General features: G+C 46.1%; 1 long non-coding RNA gene and 1 pseudogene across 2 annotated transcripts, besides 5 other annotated features; both read right to left on the bottom strand.

The window, feature by feature from the left end:
- Window positions 2867-3848: an enhancer, noted in NCBI's record as "NANOG-H3K27ac-H3K4me1 hESC enhancer chr9:38689480-38690461 (GRCh37/hg19 assembly coordinates)". NCBI's record gives its function as "activates a minimal SCP1, AML or CMV promoter by ChIP-STARR-seq in primed H9 embryonic stem cells {active_cell/tissue: H9 hESC(primed)}" and the evidence as "EXISTENCE:reporter gene assay evidence [ECO:0000049][PMID:30033119]".
- Window positions 3186-5799, bottom strand: LOC124902156 (uncharacterized). 2 transcript variants are annotated; one of them, XR_007061490.1, is made up of 2 exons: window positions 5654-5799; window positions 3186-3333 (listed from the first exon to the last, which is right to left on the bottom strand). It is a non-coding gene; the product is annotated as an uncharacterized LOC124902156 (long non-coding RNA). The 2 variants fall into 2 exon arrangements; XR_007061489.1 differs by lacking the exon at window positions 5654-5799 and adding an exon at window positions 5005-5601.
- Window positions 3849-4831: an enhancer, noted in NCBI's record as "H3K27ac-H3K4me1 hESC enhancer chr9:38688497-38689479 (GRCh37/hg19 assembly coordinates)". NCBI's record gives its function as "activates a minimal SCP1, AML or CMV promoter by ChIP-STARR-seq in primed H9 embryonic stem cells {active_cell/tissue: H9 hESC(primed)}" and the evidence as "EXISTENCE:reporter gene assay evidence [ECO:0000049][PMID:30033119]".
- Window positions 4832-5813: an enhancer, noted in NCBI's record as "H3K4me1 hESC enhancer chr9:38687515-38688496 (GRCh37/hg19 assembly coordinates)". NCBI's record gives its function as "activates a minimal SCP1, AML or CMV promoter by ChIP-STARR-seq in naive H9 embryonic stem cells {active_cell/tissue: H9 hESC(naive)}" and the evidence as "EXISTENCE:reporter gene assay evidence [ECO:0000049][PMID:30033119]".
- Window positions 5365-5659: a silencer, noted in NCBI's record as "tiled region #1016; K562 Repressive non-DNase unmatched - State 8:EnhW". NCBI's record gives its function as "represses a minimal TATA promoter and a strong SV40 promoter by Sharpr-MPRA in K562 cells {active_cell/tissue: K562}" and the evidence as "EXISTENCE:reporter gene assay evidence [ECO:0000049][PMID:27701403]".
- Window positions 5814-6797: an enhancer, noted in NCBI's record as "H3K4me1 hESC enhancer chr9:38686531-38687514 (GRCh37/hg19 assembly coordinates)". NCBI's record gives its function as "activates a minimal SCP1, AML or CMV promoter by ChIP-STARR-seq in naive H9 embryonic stem cells {active_cell/tissue: H9 hESC(naive)}" and the evidence as "EXISTENCE:reporter gene assay evidence [ECO:0000049][PMID:30033119]".
- On the bottom strand, window positions 13227-13325 carry RNU6-765P (RNA, U6 small nuclear 765, pseudogene; annotated as a pseudogene).

Below are 17159 nucleotides of genomic sequence, written 5' to 3'. Positions count from 1 at the left end.
GCTTGCAGTGAGCCAAGAACATGCCACTGCACTCCAGCTTGGGCGACAGAGCGGGACTCCATCTGAAAAAAAAAAAAAAAAGAAATAGAACTTTGGCAAGGGCAGAGGGCCATGGGAATGAACATCAGGAAGGCTAACCACATCTGGGGGTCAAGGAAAAGGGAAAGCTCCCTGAGAAATGGATGCTTAAGCTGAGGTCTAGGTGGTATTAATCATTTCATTATGCATGTGTACATCAGAACACCATGGTGTACACCCTACATATATAGAATAAAGAAAGAAATACAAACAAGTAAGAATCATCCAGGAAAATGCATCAGGGAGGATGTCTTGGGCAGAGGACAAAAGCAAGTGTGAAGAACCAAAGAGGAGCAGGAGATAGGGGGTGGGGACCCGAGGTCCCTGGGGAGATGTGTCTGTAGCCCAGAGACTGGGGAGGGGACTACTCCATAGGAGGGGGAGGGGTGCAGGGGCCTCCGCAGCCAGACAAGAAACTCTGGATCTAACCACAGGGTAACAGCAGGCCATTGACAGGTTTCAGGTGGAGGAATGAGCTGATTAGATGTGCATTGTTAATTTTTTCAAACACACATATACGTGTGCATGTAACTTCGTGTAGGTGCACAAATATGATCGTATCATGCACGCCGATAGGGTTCATTACAATTTTTTGCTAACCTTTTCTCCTTCGTGTCTGTGGTTGGTACTTACTCCCTCCCTTTTTCCTCTACTCTCAACTGTCAGTGACTCTCATGTCTCAGTAACAACCTCACCTAGTTTTCTACATGTACAAACACACACATACACACTCACACACACTCACACCCACTGTATATCTAAAAGGCTTTGTGTGGATGTGTTCATGGGGTAAAATCTTACAAAGGATCATATTCTTCTGTGTATATTGTGTTCCTCACTCAACCATACCTCATACAAATGCTCCCAGGTCAATTTAATTCCAATTCACATTTTTAATGGGGCCATATTATCCCATGATGTGGATGTTCCGTAATAAAGTTAACAATTCTTTTAGACATAGACAGTCACATAATTTCCAGGTTTTGCATTTGAACAATGCAGCAGTAAATACTCTTGTCTGGAGGTCCTTTATCCCAGGGGTTTCATACTAGAAAATATATTCCCGGGAATGGAAAATTAGAAAATGGTATTTGCGATTTTTACTTTTAACATGGGCTTTCCAGAAAGGCTGGAGAAATTCCCATTTGAACAGACAGTTTACGAGAGTATGCTCTCCCCACGTTGCTGAGAGCATTAAGTGTCATAGCTAGCTTAAATTTTCTGTAGTCTGAGGGGTGTTGAGTGACATCAGTAATTGGAGTCCCTTCATTTGGTTGTGGATTAGGTGAATCTTCTCATCTGTGAATCGCTTATGCCTACTTTATTGCCCATTTTTCTAAGATGTGTCTTTCATGTCAATGTGTACAAACTCTTAATATATTATAAAATGTAACCCCTGGCTTGTCATTTACATTAGAAATCTAGAGGGCTGGGAAGGCCTGCTTAAATACTCATTATTAAGTTTGAAAAGCTTAAAGCTATCAAGGCAGAAATAGACATATTTATTTATATAAAAATGAAAAGCTTATATGTAGTAAAATGTACCATAAGCAGAGTAGCTTTGGCAGATTTGCAAGTTTAAATGATCACTCCACCACAGCTGAGAGAATGAATTTGAGGGGAGATGGTAGGAGATGGTGGGAGATGGATTAGGAGGTTGTTTCCCAGGTCTCCATGACAGAGAATGGACGTGAGCAAACCGAATGGATAGATCTTGCAGGTTGACTGAATGCAGGGGAGTGAGGCACAGTGCATCCACAAACACAGATATTCATGTATTTTACCTAGCATTTATTTAACATGGGCTAAGAAAGAAGAATGTGAGTCCAAAGAGATAAGCAGAGCCGGTTTTGTTAACATTTCCACTATGTACTAGTGGGGACCTCAGACAAACCCCCTGAGCTTGAGTTTCCTCATCTGGAGGTGGTTGAAATCGAATGAGCAGGTATCAAAGCTCCCAGAGCAGAACCTGGCACAAGGCGGGCCCTCAGTGCACCTGAGCTCTCAGCCTCCTCCTTCTCTCTCTGCTCCCTCCTAGCTGTCACCTGGCTGGGCCCATGGAAAATGCACGCTCATCCTGGGCAGTGGTTACAAGGCCTGCTTGCCAGTCAGAATCACCAGGAAAACTGCTTTAAATTCACAGATTCCTGGGCTCTGCCCCCAGAGGTTCTAGTTCTGTTGATCTGGTGTGGGGCTCAGGGATGGTATTTTTATCACGCTGCCCAGGAGACGAGATGCTTAGCCAGACTTGGAAACTGATTCCCCAGAGGGTGCAGAATCTAGTGGAGAAGACAACATGATATAAACTGTGTCTGCTTGGTTAAGTTTTTCAGAAGAGCACAGTGGTTCTCTGGGGGGAAGCATGGAAGTCTCCCAGAGAGGGTGAGATCAAGCCTTGAGGTAGAGTCAAAGGACATCCCGGACACAAGAACCAGCTGTGTAAAGCCAGGAAGTGGCCTCTGTGCTGTCCCTGTAGGGGGTGGAGGGAGGCAAGGTTGGGGTTAAATGGGGAAGGCCCTTGAATGCTGAGCTAAGGAGTTTGGACTTTATCACGTAGGCAATGGAGGCTCATCAAAGGTTTTTAAAGCAACCAAGTAACGTGCTAAGAACTTGTCTTAGGGACTTAGTCAAACAACCCTGGCAGCAGTGTGGAGAATGCACTCTACAGATGTTAGGGATTGTCTTTGTTAAAACTATGATGATCCAAACAGCTTTATTTGGAAAATATACCCTTTATGTGATCCTCTACTCTGGTCAAGGTGAGTGGAAGTACAAAAATAAGAATGTGGTCTAAGTGATAAGACACAGAGAGCAAAGCATTGCAACTGTGCCTTATGCTATGACTCAAGACAAACACGTTTAAACTTCCAGCTTCTCATTTCAAAGTTGTTAGCACTTTTCCTTTAATAACCTTGTGTGAAACACAGGTTGAAAAATGGCAAAATTATTCTACCAACTAAGAGGTGACCTCAGCTGCTCAAAAAACTTCACTGAATTTAAACCATAACTTTATGTTTGACAAGGAATAGCAACAACAGATCCTTTTTTCTTTTGGACAGCTACACATGATTCAGTATTAGTGACAGAAGAAATTAAACCAGAAAGTGTCCCTTTTTGCAAAGCAATTTAATGATGAAATCAAAAAAGAGCTCTCGACTTCCAGACCAGTTCACAAGTCCTCAGGCTGTTTTTGGTGCAGAGGAGATGAAATGCGCTTGCCCAGCCCAGGAGACACAATGGCACTTGGAGGCTTTGCTATGGGAGACGTTACAGATGGGGTGAGGGAGAGGGAAAGGGAGAGAGATACTGGTTAGAAAAGATTTACTGTCCTAGGCATGCGGACGAGATGGGCAGCACCCAAAGACAGTTTGGCAAATCAGAGGATTATTTGCAACACTAAGCCACCTCCCCCAGACTCCATGAGAACTGAAGCAGTGCTAAAGTGCAAACAAGGCACAAAGCCAGGCTTCCCAGGAGGATCACAACAATAGCGGCAGCAGCAGCAACAGCAGGGGAAGGAGCTCCAGGGCAATTGTAACATTTTCCTTGAAAACATGCAGATTCTAAGGGAAGAAGATAGGATTCTCTCACACTGAGACTCTCCCATTAGCTTAGAAAATAATGAGTTTTCTTTGAAAATAATAAACAAATTGACTTTTTCTGATTATAAAAATATGTTTGTGGTAAAAGTTCAGAAAAGGAAAGAATGTAAAAATAACCCACATTGCCACCACCCAGCAATAAACACTCCTAATATTTTGAAAACTATCTAACATCTCTCTAGTCATACCTACTCAAAAAGATAAATAATTTTTTAAAACTGAGGCCTTACTGTTTTTCCATTCAGTAATATATTGCGGACATCTTAAAACTGATAAATATAGATCTACATAATTTTTTGTTGGCTGCATAATATTTAGATGTGAATGATTTATTTGAACAATTTTTTTTTTTTTTGAGACGGAGTCTCACTCTGTGCCCAGGCCAGAGTGCAGTGGCGCGATCTCGGCTCACTGCAAGCTCCGCCTCCCGGGTTCACGCCATTCTCCTGCCTCAGCCTCCCGAGTAGCTGGGACTACAGGTGCCCAACACCACGCCCGGCTAATATTTTTGTGTTTTTAGTAGAGACGGGGTTTCACCGTGTTAGCCAGGATGGTCTCGATCTCCTGACCTCGTGATCCGCCTGTCTCGGCCTCCCAAAGTGCTGGGATTACAGGTGTGAGCCACCGCGCCCGGCCTTAATTCGTTTTTAATAAAACTTTAATAAAATTTCAGAGTTTAACAAAACTTAAGCATATTCTACTTTACTAGAATTTACAAAGAATTCCTTGAAAATGTTATTGCAGACATGATAACATAGAAAGGTTGTGTGTGCCCTGTTAGAATATGTCTTTTTTTTTTCTTTTTGATACGGAGTGTCGCTCTGTCGCCCAGGCTGGAGTGTAGTGGAGCGATCTCGCCTCACTGCAAGCTCCGCCTCCGGGTTCACGCCATTCTCCTGCCTCAGCCTCCCGAGTAGCTGGGACTACAGGCGCCCGGCTAATTTTTCGTATTTTTAGTAGAGACGGTTTCACTGTGTTAGCCGGGATGGTCTGCATCTCCTGACCTCCTGCTCCGCCCGCCTCGGCCTCCCAAGGTGCTGGGATTACAGGCGTGAGCCATCGCGCCCGGCCAACTTTCTGGTTTTTCAGTGTGTGTATACATACACACATGCTTATCCAATTGTCTGTTTTGGATAAAGTCTAAAAGTAGAACTGCTGTGTCGGAAGGCGAGCCACAGAATGGACAGCTCCTAGCACACAACCACCTCTCCCTGTCCCCGCACTGTGGACACTGTAGGTTGTGCCTGACCAGTGTCTAGTCCGCCCTTTCCCTTACAACAGACTGTAACGGTTAGAGAAGAGGACGACACCCATCTCAACTCACCTTCCCTGCGGTGAGGACAGGGCAACTCCACCCCTAGGTGCTTGATACAAGCCTGGCCAATTGAAATGCCACAGCCTCCCAGTGCCAGCGATTGGCTCAGGGATGGTCCCCTGACCCAATTGAGTCCAGGAAGAGCCAGGGCCCAGGCTTGGGCTGGAGCTACAGGAAAGGAGATTGCTGGGTCGGCAGTAAAGATGATGGAGCCTGGAGCTGCTGCCAGTCACCCCGGGAGAGTGTTACCCAGGAATGAAGCCAGCACAGGAAGGCAAAGCTCAGGGAGAGAGAGAGAGATGAAAGAGAGACACACAGAGTTTTAGTCCCTGGACCCAAGCGATTTGGAGCCAACTTTATCTCTTAAATCTTTTAATTTTCTTTTCTTAAATCATTGTAGTTGTCTATCTCTTGTAATTTAAAACTCCTGGATACCGGGGGAAAAGTCATTCACTGAGACTGGCCCCAGTACAGGGGCCTCTGCCCCCGGACCCTGCCTGCATCTAGTGATCTTTCCTGCCCTGCCATCGGCCTTAGCGACTGATCCCAGTCGGGACACTTGAGCGGAGCCGGGCGCAGAGAGACACCCCGCCCCGAGCCAGGAAGAGACGCTTCTCCCAGGCGCCTGCGCAGAGAGCCTGCGGCGGCCCGGGCTCACCTGCTTCTGTGTCCTGAAGTCTGATCACCCCACTTAAAAGAAAGCATGACTCATCAACTAAATGGACGAACTCTGGAGTACAGAATAGAAACAACTTCATTTTTAAATATTTTCTGCTGGACTTCTCAGAGTCACTAGCATGCTAATCTGCATCAGGACTCTCCGAAGGCCCAGTGTGGTCAGTGTGCAGAGCAGGAGGCGGGCTCTGGGGCCGGCCAGCCCGCAGGCTTCCGGGTGAGAGTGCCAGGCAGTGCCTCGAGCTGGAGACCTCAGACAAGTAGCTTAACCTCTCGGAGCCTCCATTCCCTCCTTCCTAAAGCACCTACCTCATAGAGCTGTTGTGAACATTACGAATGCAAAGTGCTTGAAGAGCACCGGAAACAAACAGTCTGCAATAAATGTTAGCTATTAACATTTTAGCATTAACGTCTAGAGTGTCCTCTTTCCATCCTTGCCCCGTCTGAGGACTGTTGTCTTCCTGACTGGAATGCAAGCTCTTCTGCATTCTGTTTGCACTCGGGTGTGTCTGGCCTCCACACTGTCCTCTTAGCCCTGCTGGAGTTCTTCGTGGATGGGCTGCAGTCCCAGTGCCGGGATGGGGCCTTCCTGCGGAGCTGCTCTTCTCCCCTGATGTTTACTTAGGGCTGGCGTTCAGGGCACTTTTGTTTTTTCAGCCTCAGAATGTTGTTTTTTATTGGAATGGTGCGCCCTGGAGTAACAAGAGTAAATAGAGGTGTTTGGCATCCCCGACCCCACACGCCCTTCCTCCTGGGGGAGGAAGAGGCAAGTGGGCAAGAGAGGGGGCCGTTGGCACTCGAATTGCAGTTCAGAAGGACCCCTCCGTGGCGGTGGTCTTAAACACAAGACACCCTGCCTGTGAACTTCTGGCAAGGGATCCTTATTTTAAACAGCGTTTGTTTGGTTTTGGCTGGGCTGCATCCCCCCCACCCCCACCCCCACCCCCACCCCCATACCAAAATATGGAACGGTTCTTCCCAGGGAGAAAATTCTTACCTCTTCAGACACCTACTTGATGCCCCAGAGCATCGCCCCCTGTGCACTAAATATGGAACTGTCTCCTTAAGAGTCACGTCCATTTCCAGGCACAGGTGTCCAGGGAGGCCTCCTTGTACTTGAGCCCATAGTGATGCCTCAAGGTCAAATCAAAACTGAACCTTCTCATGGCCTAGCACTAGAAAAGTGGCCAAGTCAGGAGGGCACGTTGCCCTCCTTTATCCTTAAGCCCTTTCTTGAAAGACCATTGGACAATATATTAGAATGCAAGAACTCTCCCACTGGGTGAGCACCAAAGACTGAGCAATGTGGCGGGCAGGCAGGCTGGGGAATGTTTCTTGTTATTCTGATATTAATATTTCTACTGTGGCTTTCCTCTGTTTGGCATTTGCCTGGATTCTTTTTCCATCTCTCTATTTTCCACTGTCCCGCATTGTACACAAGGATGACACACTATTGGTGAACATCACTCTTTGCTTCTACTGCCTACTCAGCCATGTGCGGGACAGCAAAATGCTTCCAAGTGCAGCGCAGGACAGGGTTCCTGCCAGGTTCCTTGTGCGCCTCTACCTGTGATGCTGAGTGGGTATCTGGGGACCCAGAGAGGTCACTTTAATTCCCATGTTTCTTCTTTCCCCTGTCAAATCATGCATGGGAGAACCAGGCCAAGAGATTGAGTTTGGGTGCTAAAATAAATAAAAGAGATTAAAGAGCTAACTTTTTACCAAGTATGGCCTGATAACATTTCTCTTCCAAGACTTTTCCCAGGACTGAGTTCCAATTTTTAAGCAAATATGTAGTAATTAGCAGTCAACAGTTTATGTGCATCTATCCATTGTGGAGCAGTGGGTGGGAGAGTGGCTAAGAAAGAAACAGAAATCTACAAATCTGGCTTTCACTGGTTGCTTGCTGGGACTGTGACCAAGACTCAAATACAAATAGTCAATTGTTATTCATAGAGCCTGGGAATTCAGTGCTTGGGCTTTGGCGTCAGGCAGATCTGGGAGCTAATCTCAGTGCTGCCACTTATTAGCACATTATCTAACTTCTGTAAGCGTTAAACATCAGTTTCCACACCTTCAGGATGGGGCAATAATTCTACTTCACAGGCATTTGGGGAGGATGGCATAAGAAGATCTACCTGATCTACTGTAAAATCAGAGCCTTGGTTCATGCGGAGATGTCATTGGGAGAATGAGGAGTCAGGCCTCACAGTGACGGGGATGTTTTATATATCAGAGAAGGCTGGCATCCAGAATGTCCTGAGGGTCATAAAGCAGGAGCAGATAACCCAGTGGAAGAATGAACAAAGGAACCAAATGCACACTTTTCAGAGGAGCATACTCAGGTGGCCATGGAACACAGGAGTGTTCAACCTCATTGACAATGGAAAATGCCAGGCAAGACACAGAGAGCTGCCATATACACCCACAGGACAGCTAATGTGAGGACAACTGGCAACATCCCATGTTGGAGAGAGTATGAAGCATGGGACTGTGAACTGGCGCAGCCACTTTGGAAAATGGCTCAGCTTTGTCTACTGGAGTGGAGGATGCTGCACATGGCCTATGGCCCAGCAGTTCCTGTGGGCATCAGGAGGCATGTGCAAGAGTGTTCAGAGCAGCACTGTTACCATGAGTTACAATAACCATAATCTGGAACTGGCTCAGATGTTATTCAGCAATAGAGTGGAGAGGTGGATCGTTTGTCATGCAGCGGAATGTTAAATAGCAATGAAGATGAATGGATCACGGCTCTATGCAGCAAGATGGATGAATTCCAAATATTGAGCAGAAAAAGCTGAACACAACACATACGTCCCATATATTTGAAATTCACAAAATGCAAGACAAAATTCAACTTTGGAGATGCATATTTGGTGATTGGCAATGCAAAGCAACAGGGAAGTGATTACCTTAAATGTCAGGGAAGTGATTACCTACCTTTCATGAGGAAAGAGGGGCTAGTGGCAAGGAAGGGGAATGGACATGATTTCTGGGATGCTAGCCGTATTGTGTTTCTTTTTTAATGTAAGTGATGGCATACCAATATTTGCTTTTGATAATTCACTCAATTGTATATTTTTGCTTTGTAAACTATTTCTGTTATGTGTGTGCCATATTTCACAATAAAAAGACTAAAAAAAAGAAAATGCACGTCAAACCTTTAGCACTGTATAAGTTCTCATTAAATGAGATACTTATTTGCTTCAAGAATACTAACCTGGAGACGTTTAATTAGAACTGCAAAACTAAATGAAGTGTTTCAAAATGACAACTCTTCTTCTAGTTGTAAAAGTAAAGAGTGAGACATAAGGTGCCTGGCCCAAGAATGCATCTGGAGACACAGCCATGGAGCCACCTTTCCTGGAGATGTTAATCAAACTAGCAGGTTGCAGGCAAATGCAAGACACTGTGCTCTGCAAGTCCACACCCAGCAGAGCCCAGGAGAATCACCTAGCCTGAGAGGCAAGAATTTCTGACGGTGGAGACAGCATGGGCATTTTATTTAACCTCCCTGATGATTCTAACCTGCAGCCAGGGTTGTGGAACCTGCACTGGTGCTGAGGTGGGAGGTGAAAGCTGCTGTCAGAGGCCCCCAAGGAGAACAGCTATCCCAGGGGTGGAGCAGAAGGGCCTTTAGCAGAGCCTGAGCTGACAGTTTTGTGGAGCAGGCTGAGAGGAGTAGAAATGGGGACGGCTGATCCCCAACTCTGCCTCCTCTGAATGAAAAGTTGAGAGAAATTGGTTTCTTGAGACAGCAGCACTTCTGTGTTCATGAATCTGTCCCTTGTCCCTTTTAAGGATTGATCCTGGGATTAATTTTTCAAAGAAGGGCACTGGCATCACTTGGCTCAGCATCATCCTGGATAGCAGGCCACATACTGGATGCACAGGAACCAATGGTTGCAAATAGGATTTTCAGACCTGAGAAATTCTGACTTTTTAACTATTTAGAAAAGTTACAAGGCGTTTCAATGATAGAACAATAAATGAAAATTCTGGTGTATACATTTATGAGTCTTTCTCAAAACACGCCTCTAGAGACAAAAGACATGGTATGAAATGAAGTTAAGCGAGACAAATCTCACGTGAGGGATGTGTGTCACACATTCCCCTCTCATCCGTTTATTGTGAAATACGGCACACACGTCCAAGACCACAGGACCTCTGAGCAGGCCACTGATGCCTCTTCCCCTGCCGGGAGTGTAACCTTTCTGGACTGCTATCACCTGCAATTTTGATTTTAATCACCCAGAGTTAGCAGCAGACTCCACAGATTAAAGGGCAGGATACCCAACAAGATTGCTCTTATTTCAGATGCCAGCCACAAGTTTTGGGATCCCCATGCCACCCACACTTCCGACCAAATGTTGTAAGATCAGGAGGTTCCCATAACTCCCCTCAGTTTTAGTAATTTACTGGAATGACTGACAGAATTCAGGAAAGCACTATGCTTAGGAATAGCAGTTTTATTATAAAGGAAGGTGCAGGAGGTTTATTATATTGGAGGCGCATCACCCTCCAATACATCAATGTGTTCACAAACCACAAAGTGCCACTGAGCTTCAATGTCCAGGTTTTATCGGAGTTTCTCTGTGAAGGTATCATTGAAACATTGGCCATGTGTGTGACCTCAGCCTTCAGCTCTCCTCCCCTCCTTGGGGGCCAGGCTGGCTTAAAGCCCCAACCCTGTAATCACATGTCTGGTCTTTATGATGACCAGCCGCATTCTGAGTCATCTTGTTAGGTAAACTAAGACAGTCAAATGACTCAGGAAATTCCAGGGATTTAAAGTCTGCCTCCCAGGAAATAAGGACAATGGCTAGTCAGATTCTTTATGATCCAACAAGCCTTATACTCTGGGACACCATGTCCAGAAAGAGAAAAATAGGATCCTGCCATCCCAAAGACAGCTTTCGTCTAAGAGCCATATGTAAGAGAGTATTTAAGCCAGCCCTGATACGAAACGGAGCTCTAAATAGAACAAATGCTCAAATTCAGAATGTTCTATTTAAAGTAAAATGCTGTTAATTGGCAAGTGTGACGCTTCCTGCCACCCCATAGGCTGTGGGCTCATGGGAAAGATCCAAGCAGTTTGGAGAATACCTACCTGACCAGCACTAACCTAAGGAGTTTGTATAAATCTAAATTACAATGTAGCAATTTATAGTCAGGAATATTTTGATTAGGCAATTCAGAATCCTTGTACCAGCCTGTTAATGCCTTCTTCCATCTGCAGCAAAGCCAACAAGCAGAGCAAATGTATAAGAGAATGGTGCTTGGTGAGTGTGGAATTGGAGCATTGCAGAACACCACACATTCTCACTTTGGAGCCCTTTTCCAATACTCTGCATGCACGACTTACCTTCATTTTCAAAACAGAATGTTGTCCTTAGATAGGCTTATCATATTTGTTTCTATGCAACCTTACATATATCGTGTTGTGTTTCCTTGAGGACATATCAAGATCATCTTGGTTGACCTTCACAGATTAACAAGTTTCTTTCAGTACATGTTTACCCTTAAATGTGAGAGTGAGTCATTGCTAAAAATGGTTCAACTCATATTCTTATCCAGTTCTGAATCAATTATGACCAGCCACTTTTAGAGGGTTAAATTTCTGAACTTACCCCAGAATTTGGCCTGAATGCTTCTGTACATAGTATGAAGACTTCATCTGTTGGCATAATAAAAAAGCCATCCTTCATTCCAGCCCATGTTTACTCCTCGAGGCATGTGTGACTAATTGCAGGCATTTATTACATGCTTAGTGGTCTGGGTGGTATGTCCTAAATGTTGTTTTTTTGATATTTGATTGTTCAGTCGAAGCCTTTATACATCTTTCAGCAGCAGGGCATGAATAAAGAATGACGTTCCTTCACAATGGCACTAGGATAGGCCCAGGGATTGCAGAGGAATTGGTGGGAGGGAGGAGGAGAGAAGCTCACAAATACAAGGCCACTTCTGCCTCAGATGGATCTCAACTGGGTATGATTTGTTTGTTTGTTTGTTTTTGTTTTGTTTTGTTTTGTTTTGTTTTTTGAGACACAGTTTTGCTTTTGTTGCCCAGGCTAGACTGCAATGGCACAATATCGGCTCACTGCAACCTCCGCCTCTCGAGTTCATGCAATTCTCCTGCCTCAGGCTCCCAAGTAGCTGGGACTACAGGCACGCACCATCATGCCTGGCTAATTTTTTGTATTTAGTAGAGACAGGGCTTCACCATGTTGGTCAGGCTAGTCTTGAACTCCTGACCTCAGTGATCCACCGGCCTCAACCTCCCAAAGTGCTGGGATTACAGGCGTGAGCCATCACACCCAGCCAGTATGTTTTCGTTTTCCAAGATTGTTAAATGAAACGGCAGCTGTTCCAGAGAGTCAAGCCTTGCAACTGAAGCAACATTTAGCTTCAATCACTCAGCACAGTGTCTGCCTCGTAAGCCGATGTTTCAGAAGTGCTCTGAGAGCTGCCCACCCTGGGGTCTACAGGACCCAGAGTTGGACACACGGTTAATTGGCAGGCCTAAAATACCAACATGCCACGGACAGTCCAGTCAGGATGCTGTCATGAGGCCAGTGTGGTTTCTTTGGGAGCAGCCTTTCAGAAGAAGAAGGGAGAATTTTTGTCAGCTGCCCTGGGAGCAGGCCCGGCTGCTGCACGTGGCAGATGGGGTGTTCCATCTGTTTTCTCTCGGGAGTGGTCCTGAGTCCTCACATGTCCCGTGACAGACATGCCTCAGAAAACAGTGCAGTACATAAGCGGGTAGAATCACCAGAGACTCCACCAGAAATTAGTGCAGGCCTTAGTGAGCCCTGAGTCAACGACCCGTGCACAGGATCTTCCCCCGCTGGCAGCTGCAAACCTCACTGAGGCACAAACTCAACACCATGCCCAAAACAAGCACCTTTATCCATCCTCCAACCCCTTCTCTCTGTGCTTCCTGCCCCAGTTACTGGCAGCACCGTCCACCCAGAAACATGGAGATCCATCCCAACGAGTCCCTTCTCTCACCCCCACAGCAACCCATCAACAAGTTCAGCCATTTGTTCTCCAACTTTTCTCAAATCTACCCACTTTTCTACATCTCAACTCCAGCACCTTACTCCAAGTGACAGCCATCTCTCTCCTGAAGAACTCTGACAGCTTTCTACCTGGTCAGCCACATTCACTGCCCCTCCAACCACTCTCACCCTGGTCCAGGGGGATATATTTTTTTAACACAAATTATGTCACTGCCTTAATAAAAGCTTTTCAGTAATCTTTCACTGGCCTTGAGACAAAGACCGATAACCAGGTTCTGCAATTCCAGTCTCATCTTGGGCCACACGCCACCCCACAAATCTCAGCACACAAGTCCTGGCTGCTGGGTTTCCTCTCGGTTCACTAACACTTGGACCTGATGCTCCCTCTGCCTGCAATGGGGCTTTTGCAACTCCACCCATTCTCTCTTTTTAAAAATTGTGATATATATTATCACATACATAACATAAATTGTACCAGTTTAAACACTGTAAGTGTACAGTACAGTGCCATTTAATGCCTTCACATTGTTCTGCAGAAATATGAAACGCTTCACGAGTCCTCCTTGCACAGGGGCCATGCGAATCTTTCCGGGATTGCTCCAATTTTAGTATACATGTTGCCGAAATGAGCACCCTACCCCCTTTTGTCTATAAACTTTGACTCATCTTTGGATTTTGGCTTAAAAGTCACTTATTCAGAGAAGGCTTCAAAACCAGGCTCAGTGCCCCACTGCACATCACCTTGGCTTCACAGCACTTGGTGGCAGTGATGTGATGGTCGGATTGGTGTCTGTTCCTCTTACTAGACTGCAGGCTCCATGCAGGCAACACTCAGGCCTGGAGGGTGTAAGGCACATGGTTGGGTTCCATATAGCCTAGTTCAATGAACAATGCTTGAATGAATGGAGAAATGCGGTTCTACCCACAGTGAAGACCACCCTTGACATCATTATAGAAAATCATGTGGTTCTATGGTGTCTTAAAAACTATTTCAGAGTAGGATCTTGGCTTCACCTTTCGAAAACCAAAACGCACAGTGAAGTGTCTTTTCTCCCTTTTCTCAAACAGAAGAGCAATTTTCCTCCAACCATTAATTTGGGCTTCATCTCTTACAAAAGAGGAAGCCACCGGGTAGTTTCTAAATGGTAGGTTTTCCATTGATTTTGTTCATCAAAGTTTCAAAACTAGCAAATCTAGAATCAGACTTCTGAAGCAGTTCGTAATTTCTGAAAGCTAATGTGAAGTGGAATTTCTTTCTTTCTTTTTTTTTTTTTTTTTTTTTTTTTTGAGACGGAGTCTGACTGTTGACCAGGCTGGTGTGCAGTGGTGCGATCTTGGCTTACTGCAAGCTCTGCCTCCCAGGTTCACGCTTTTCTCCTGCCTCAGTCTCCCAAGTAGCCGGGACTATAGGCGCCTGCCACCACGTTCTGCTAATTCTTTATATATTTTTTTAGTAGAGACGGGGTTTCACTGTGTTAGCCAGGATGGTCTCGATCTCCTGACCTCGTGATTCGCCCACCTTGGCCTCCCAAAGTGCTGGGATTACAGGCGTGAGCCACCACTCCCTGCCGGAGCTTCTTTTACAGTAAGACACTCAGCCCGATCCTCCCCACCATGTCTGCAGAGAAACACTCTCTCACCCATCGGGGATTGAGTGTGGAACATGCAGATGGGTCTCCCTGGAACCGGAAGTGTGTCTGCACCCGCCAAGTTCATGAAAAACTCAGCCACGCTGGACTCTAGGAAGCCCTGCTATGGGGCCAGATGGGGTGGATCTAGGATTTCATGGGACCAAGGACTCAACCCAGAGTTAGAGCAAGAATAGGTAACATTCACTTATGCGACCGTTCACACTGTGTTACTCATAACACCAGGAGCAAGAGATGAACCTCATCGGCATCCACAATAGCATCCTAAGGAGATAACATTCAGAGTTCAAGCAGCTGCCCCAAGAGGCTTTCAAGGAGTGCTGGGCCAGATTTGTTATCTGATTTTAGTACTAAAACTCTTGTGCTTTTCACTCCAGTTTGCTCCATATGGCATTCACCACTGCATTTTTGGAAGCAACTTCCACTATAATGGCACCCTCGAAGTGGCATAAAGATCTGGTCATTTGCACCATGGGCAAAGCCATACAAAGTAGAAAGATTTGTGCCCTATGACTGTAAGGCCTTTTAATGTGACTGAACACTCAGACTTGACCACACACTCTGTGGTTGTTCAGAGTGTGTGGACTCTCTGGCTGATCAAAAGCCCGAGAGGGGGCAGCACATGATGAGCAGGACTACCCGGTAATGCTAAGCCCCTAAAAAGTCCTGGTCCCATGAGCCATGCCCCAGGCTCTGCCTCGACTGTTCGGAGTGTCCTGTGTAAACACTGTCTTGAAGCTGGTGTCTATTCTGGCTTTCTGCAGTTTCACTTAATCTTGAGGGGAAAAGCAAGGATGCCCTCTGCCTCCATGCGTAGATTCCCATAAGCTGGGTCCCCCGGGCTTCCTCTAAATCCTGCCTGTCCCCACCCTCCTCATGGAGATCCCAGTGAAGAACACGCTAATCTCTTTGAGCCAGTGAGGAATGAAACGCATAAGTCTCCCACTGCAGGATCAGGGCGTGCTGAGATAACCCCTCCAGCTCTTGGCCCAGGAGGTGATAAAAGAGGCACCTGCCATGAAGTCACCAGCTGAAGCCTTCACCCTTGGCCCTCAGCACCCCCGTCCAGCCTTGGCCCCACTGAGCCAACGATTCCAGTGACCCTAAACATCCCACAGTTCCATATCTCCCGTCTCCCCATGAGGCTTCCCTGCTTTCTGTCGACAAAGCTGCCTTTCATCACCTCTGTGGCATGTTCCCCTCCACTCGCCCTCCATGACCCTCACCTCCTCTGCCCTTGGCCGCAGCTCGTTCCCCTCCATGTCAGCTGTCAGACTCCAACTGCAGCAGCCCTTGAGGCACTCAGCTTTATTCACACAGCAACACAAACACACATCCCCCCAAACTTTTGTTCTCTGCCTCCTTTTAGGTTTTCCAAAGCTCCTTTGTTTGGAAAAGAAATCTTCCCAGGACTCCCTCATCTTACCTCCATAGTCTCACCTTCCACCAGATTCCAAGAAGATTTCAAACAATTTGGGGTGTGGGGGAAGTGTTTTATAATGATTTCTGTTCTTTTTGTGATTGCTAAAAAGTCATTTTCACCATCATTGTAATTATTATTTACTCTTGATTTTCACTCTGATCCCTACTTATACAATTATTTCTCCTGACATAAAAACCTTCTGCTTTTGTATTCCTTTAAATTAATGGTTTTATTGTTGAATCTTAACTTTGTCCCCTTAAGAATAGTTTCCAGTGAGTTCTGCATTTTACAGTCTGTACATGCTCATTTTTCCTTTCAGGTGTGTGTTTTCTCACATGATGACTTCACATGAGGACACACTGTAAGTGTAAAGGCATCCAAGAACATGCTACGGTTGGGGATCACATCTCCCTGAGGCACAGAGGACTGCTCTGTTTGTTCAGGTATTTATTCCTGTTCATTGACTCTTCCTTGCTTTTCGGGAAAAATCGATGCCCTTAGAAAACCACCAGAGGACCAGGCAGAGTGGCTCGCGCCTGTAATCCCAGCACTTTGGGAGGATGAGGTGGGAGGAACCCTTGAGCCTGGGTGGTCGAGACTGCAGTGAGCCATGATCGTGCCACTGCACTCCAGCCTGGGTGACAGAGCAAGACCCTATCTCAACAATAACAACAAAAAGAGCCACCAGTGGTTGTAGAGAAATGCTAATGATTTTTTAAGGGGAAATTCTTAAGTGCAACGAATCCATTATCAAGTGCTTACTTATTTCTAGCACCTATAGTTTAAACAATTTTACAATTTTTTTTTTTTTTTTTTTTTGAGAGAGAGTCTCGCTCTGTCACCCAGGCTGGAGTGCAATGGAGCGATCTTGGCTCACTGCAAGCTCCCGGGTTCATGCCGTTCTCCTGCCTCAGCGTCCCGAGTAGCTGGGACTACAGGCATCTGCCACCACGACTGGCTAATCTTTTGTATTTTTAGTAGAGACAGGGTTTCACCGTGTTAGCCAGGATGGTCTTGATCTCCTGACCTCGTGATCCACCCTCCTCGGCCTCCCAAAGTGCTGGGATTACAGGCGTGAGCCACTGCGCCCGGCCCCATTTTACTATTAAAATTATTCATGACCATGCATTTTAGAGGGCTCACTTAACAAACTTACTGTTGAAATTGCAGAAGTGGAAAGGTGGGAAAGCAGCACTGAGGAGGAACAGCACATGGAACTGGAAGCAACCATGCAACTTTCTTTAAGCTAATCTGAAAGGGCAGTGCCCAGCTACAAAGTTGGGCATTGTGTTGGGAATTAACTTGTCTTTCTGTACTGAGTTAAGTAAGGAGAAGGGTTGCTGTGCTCTTCCATGTAGAGAGTTTGGTGGTGGGGGAGGATCTGAGTCTTCTAAC

Source organism: Homo sapiens, chromosome 9 (assembly GCF_000001405.40).
Source record: "Homo sapiens chromosome 9, GRCh38.p14 Primary Assembly".
NCBI lineage: Eukaryota > Metazoa > Chordata > Mammalia > Primates > Hominidae > Homo > Homo sapiens.
Note: the sequence above shows the minus strand (reverse complement) of the source record. Positions and strands in the feature narration are given on the sequence as shown.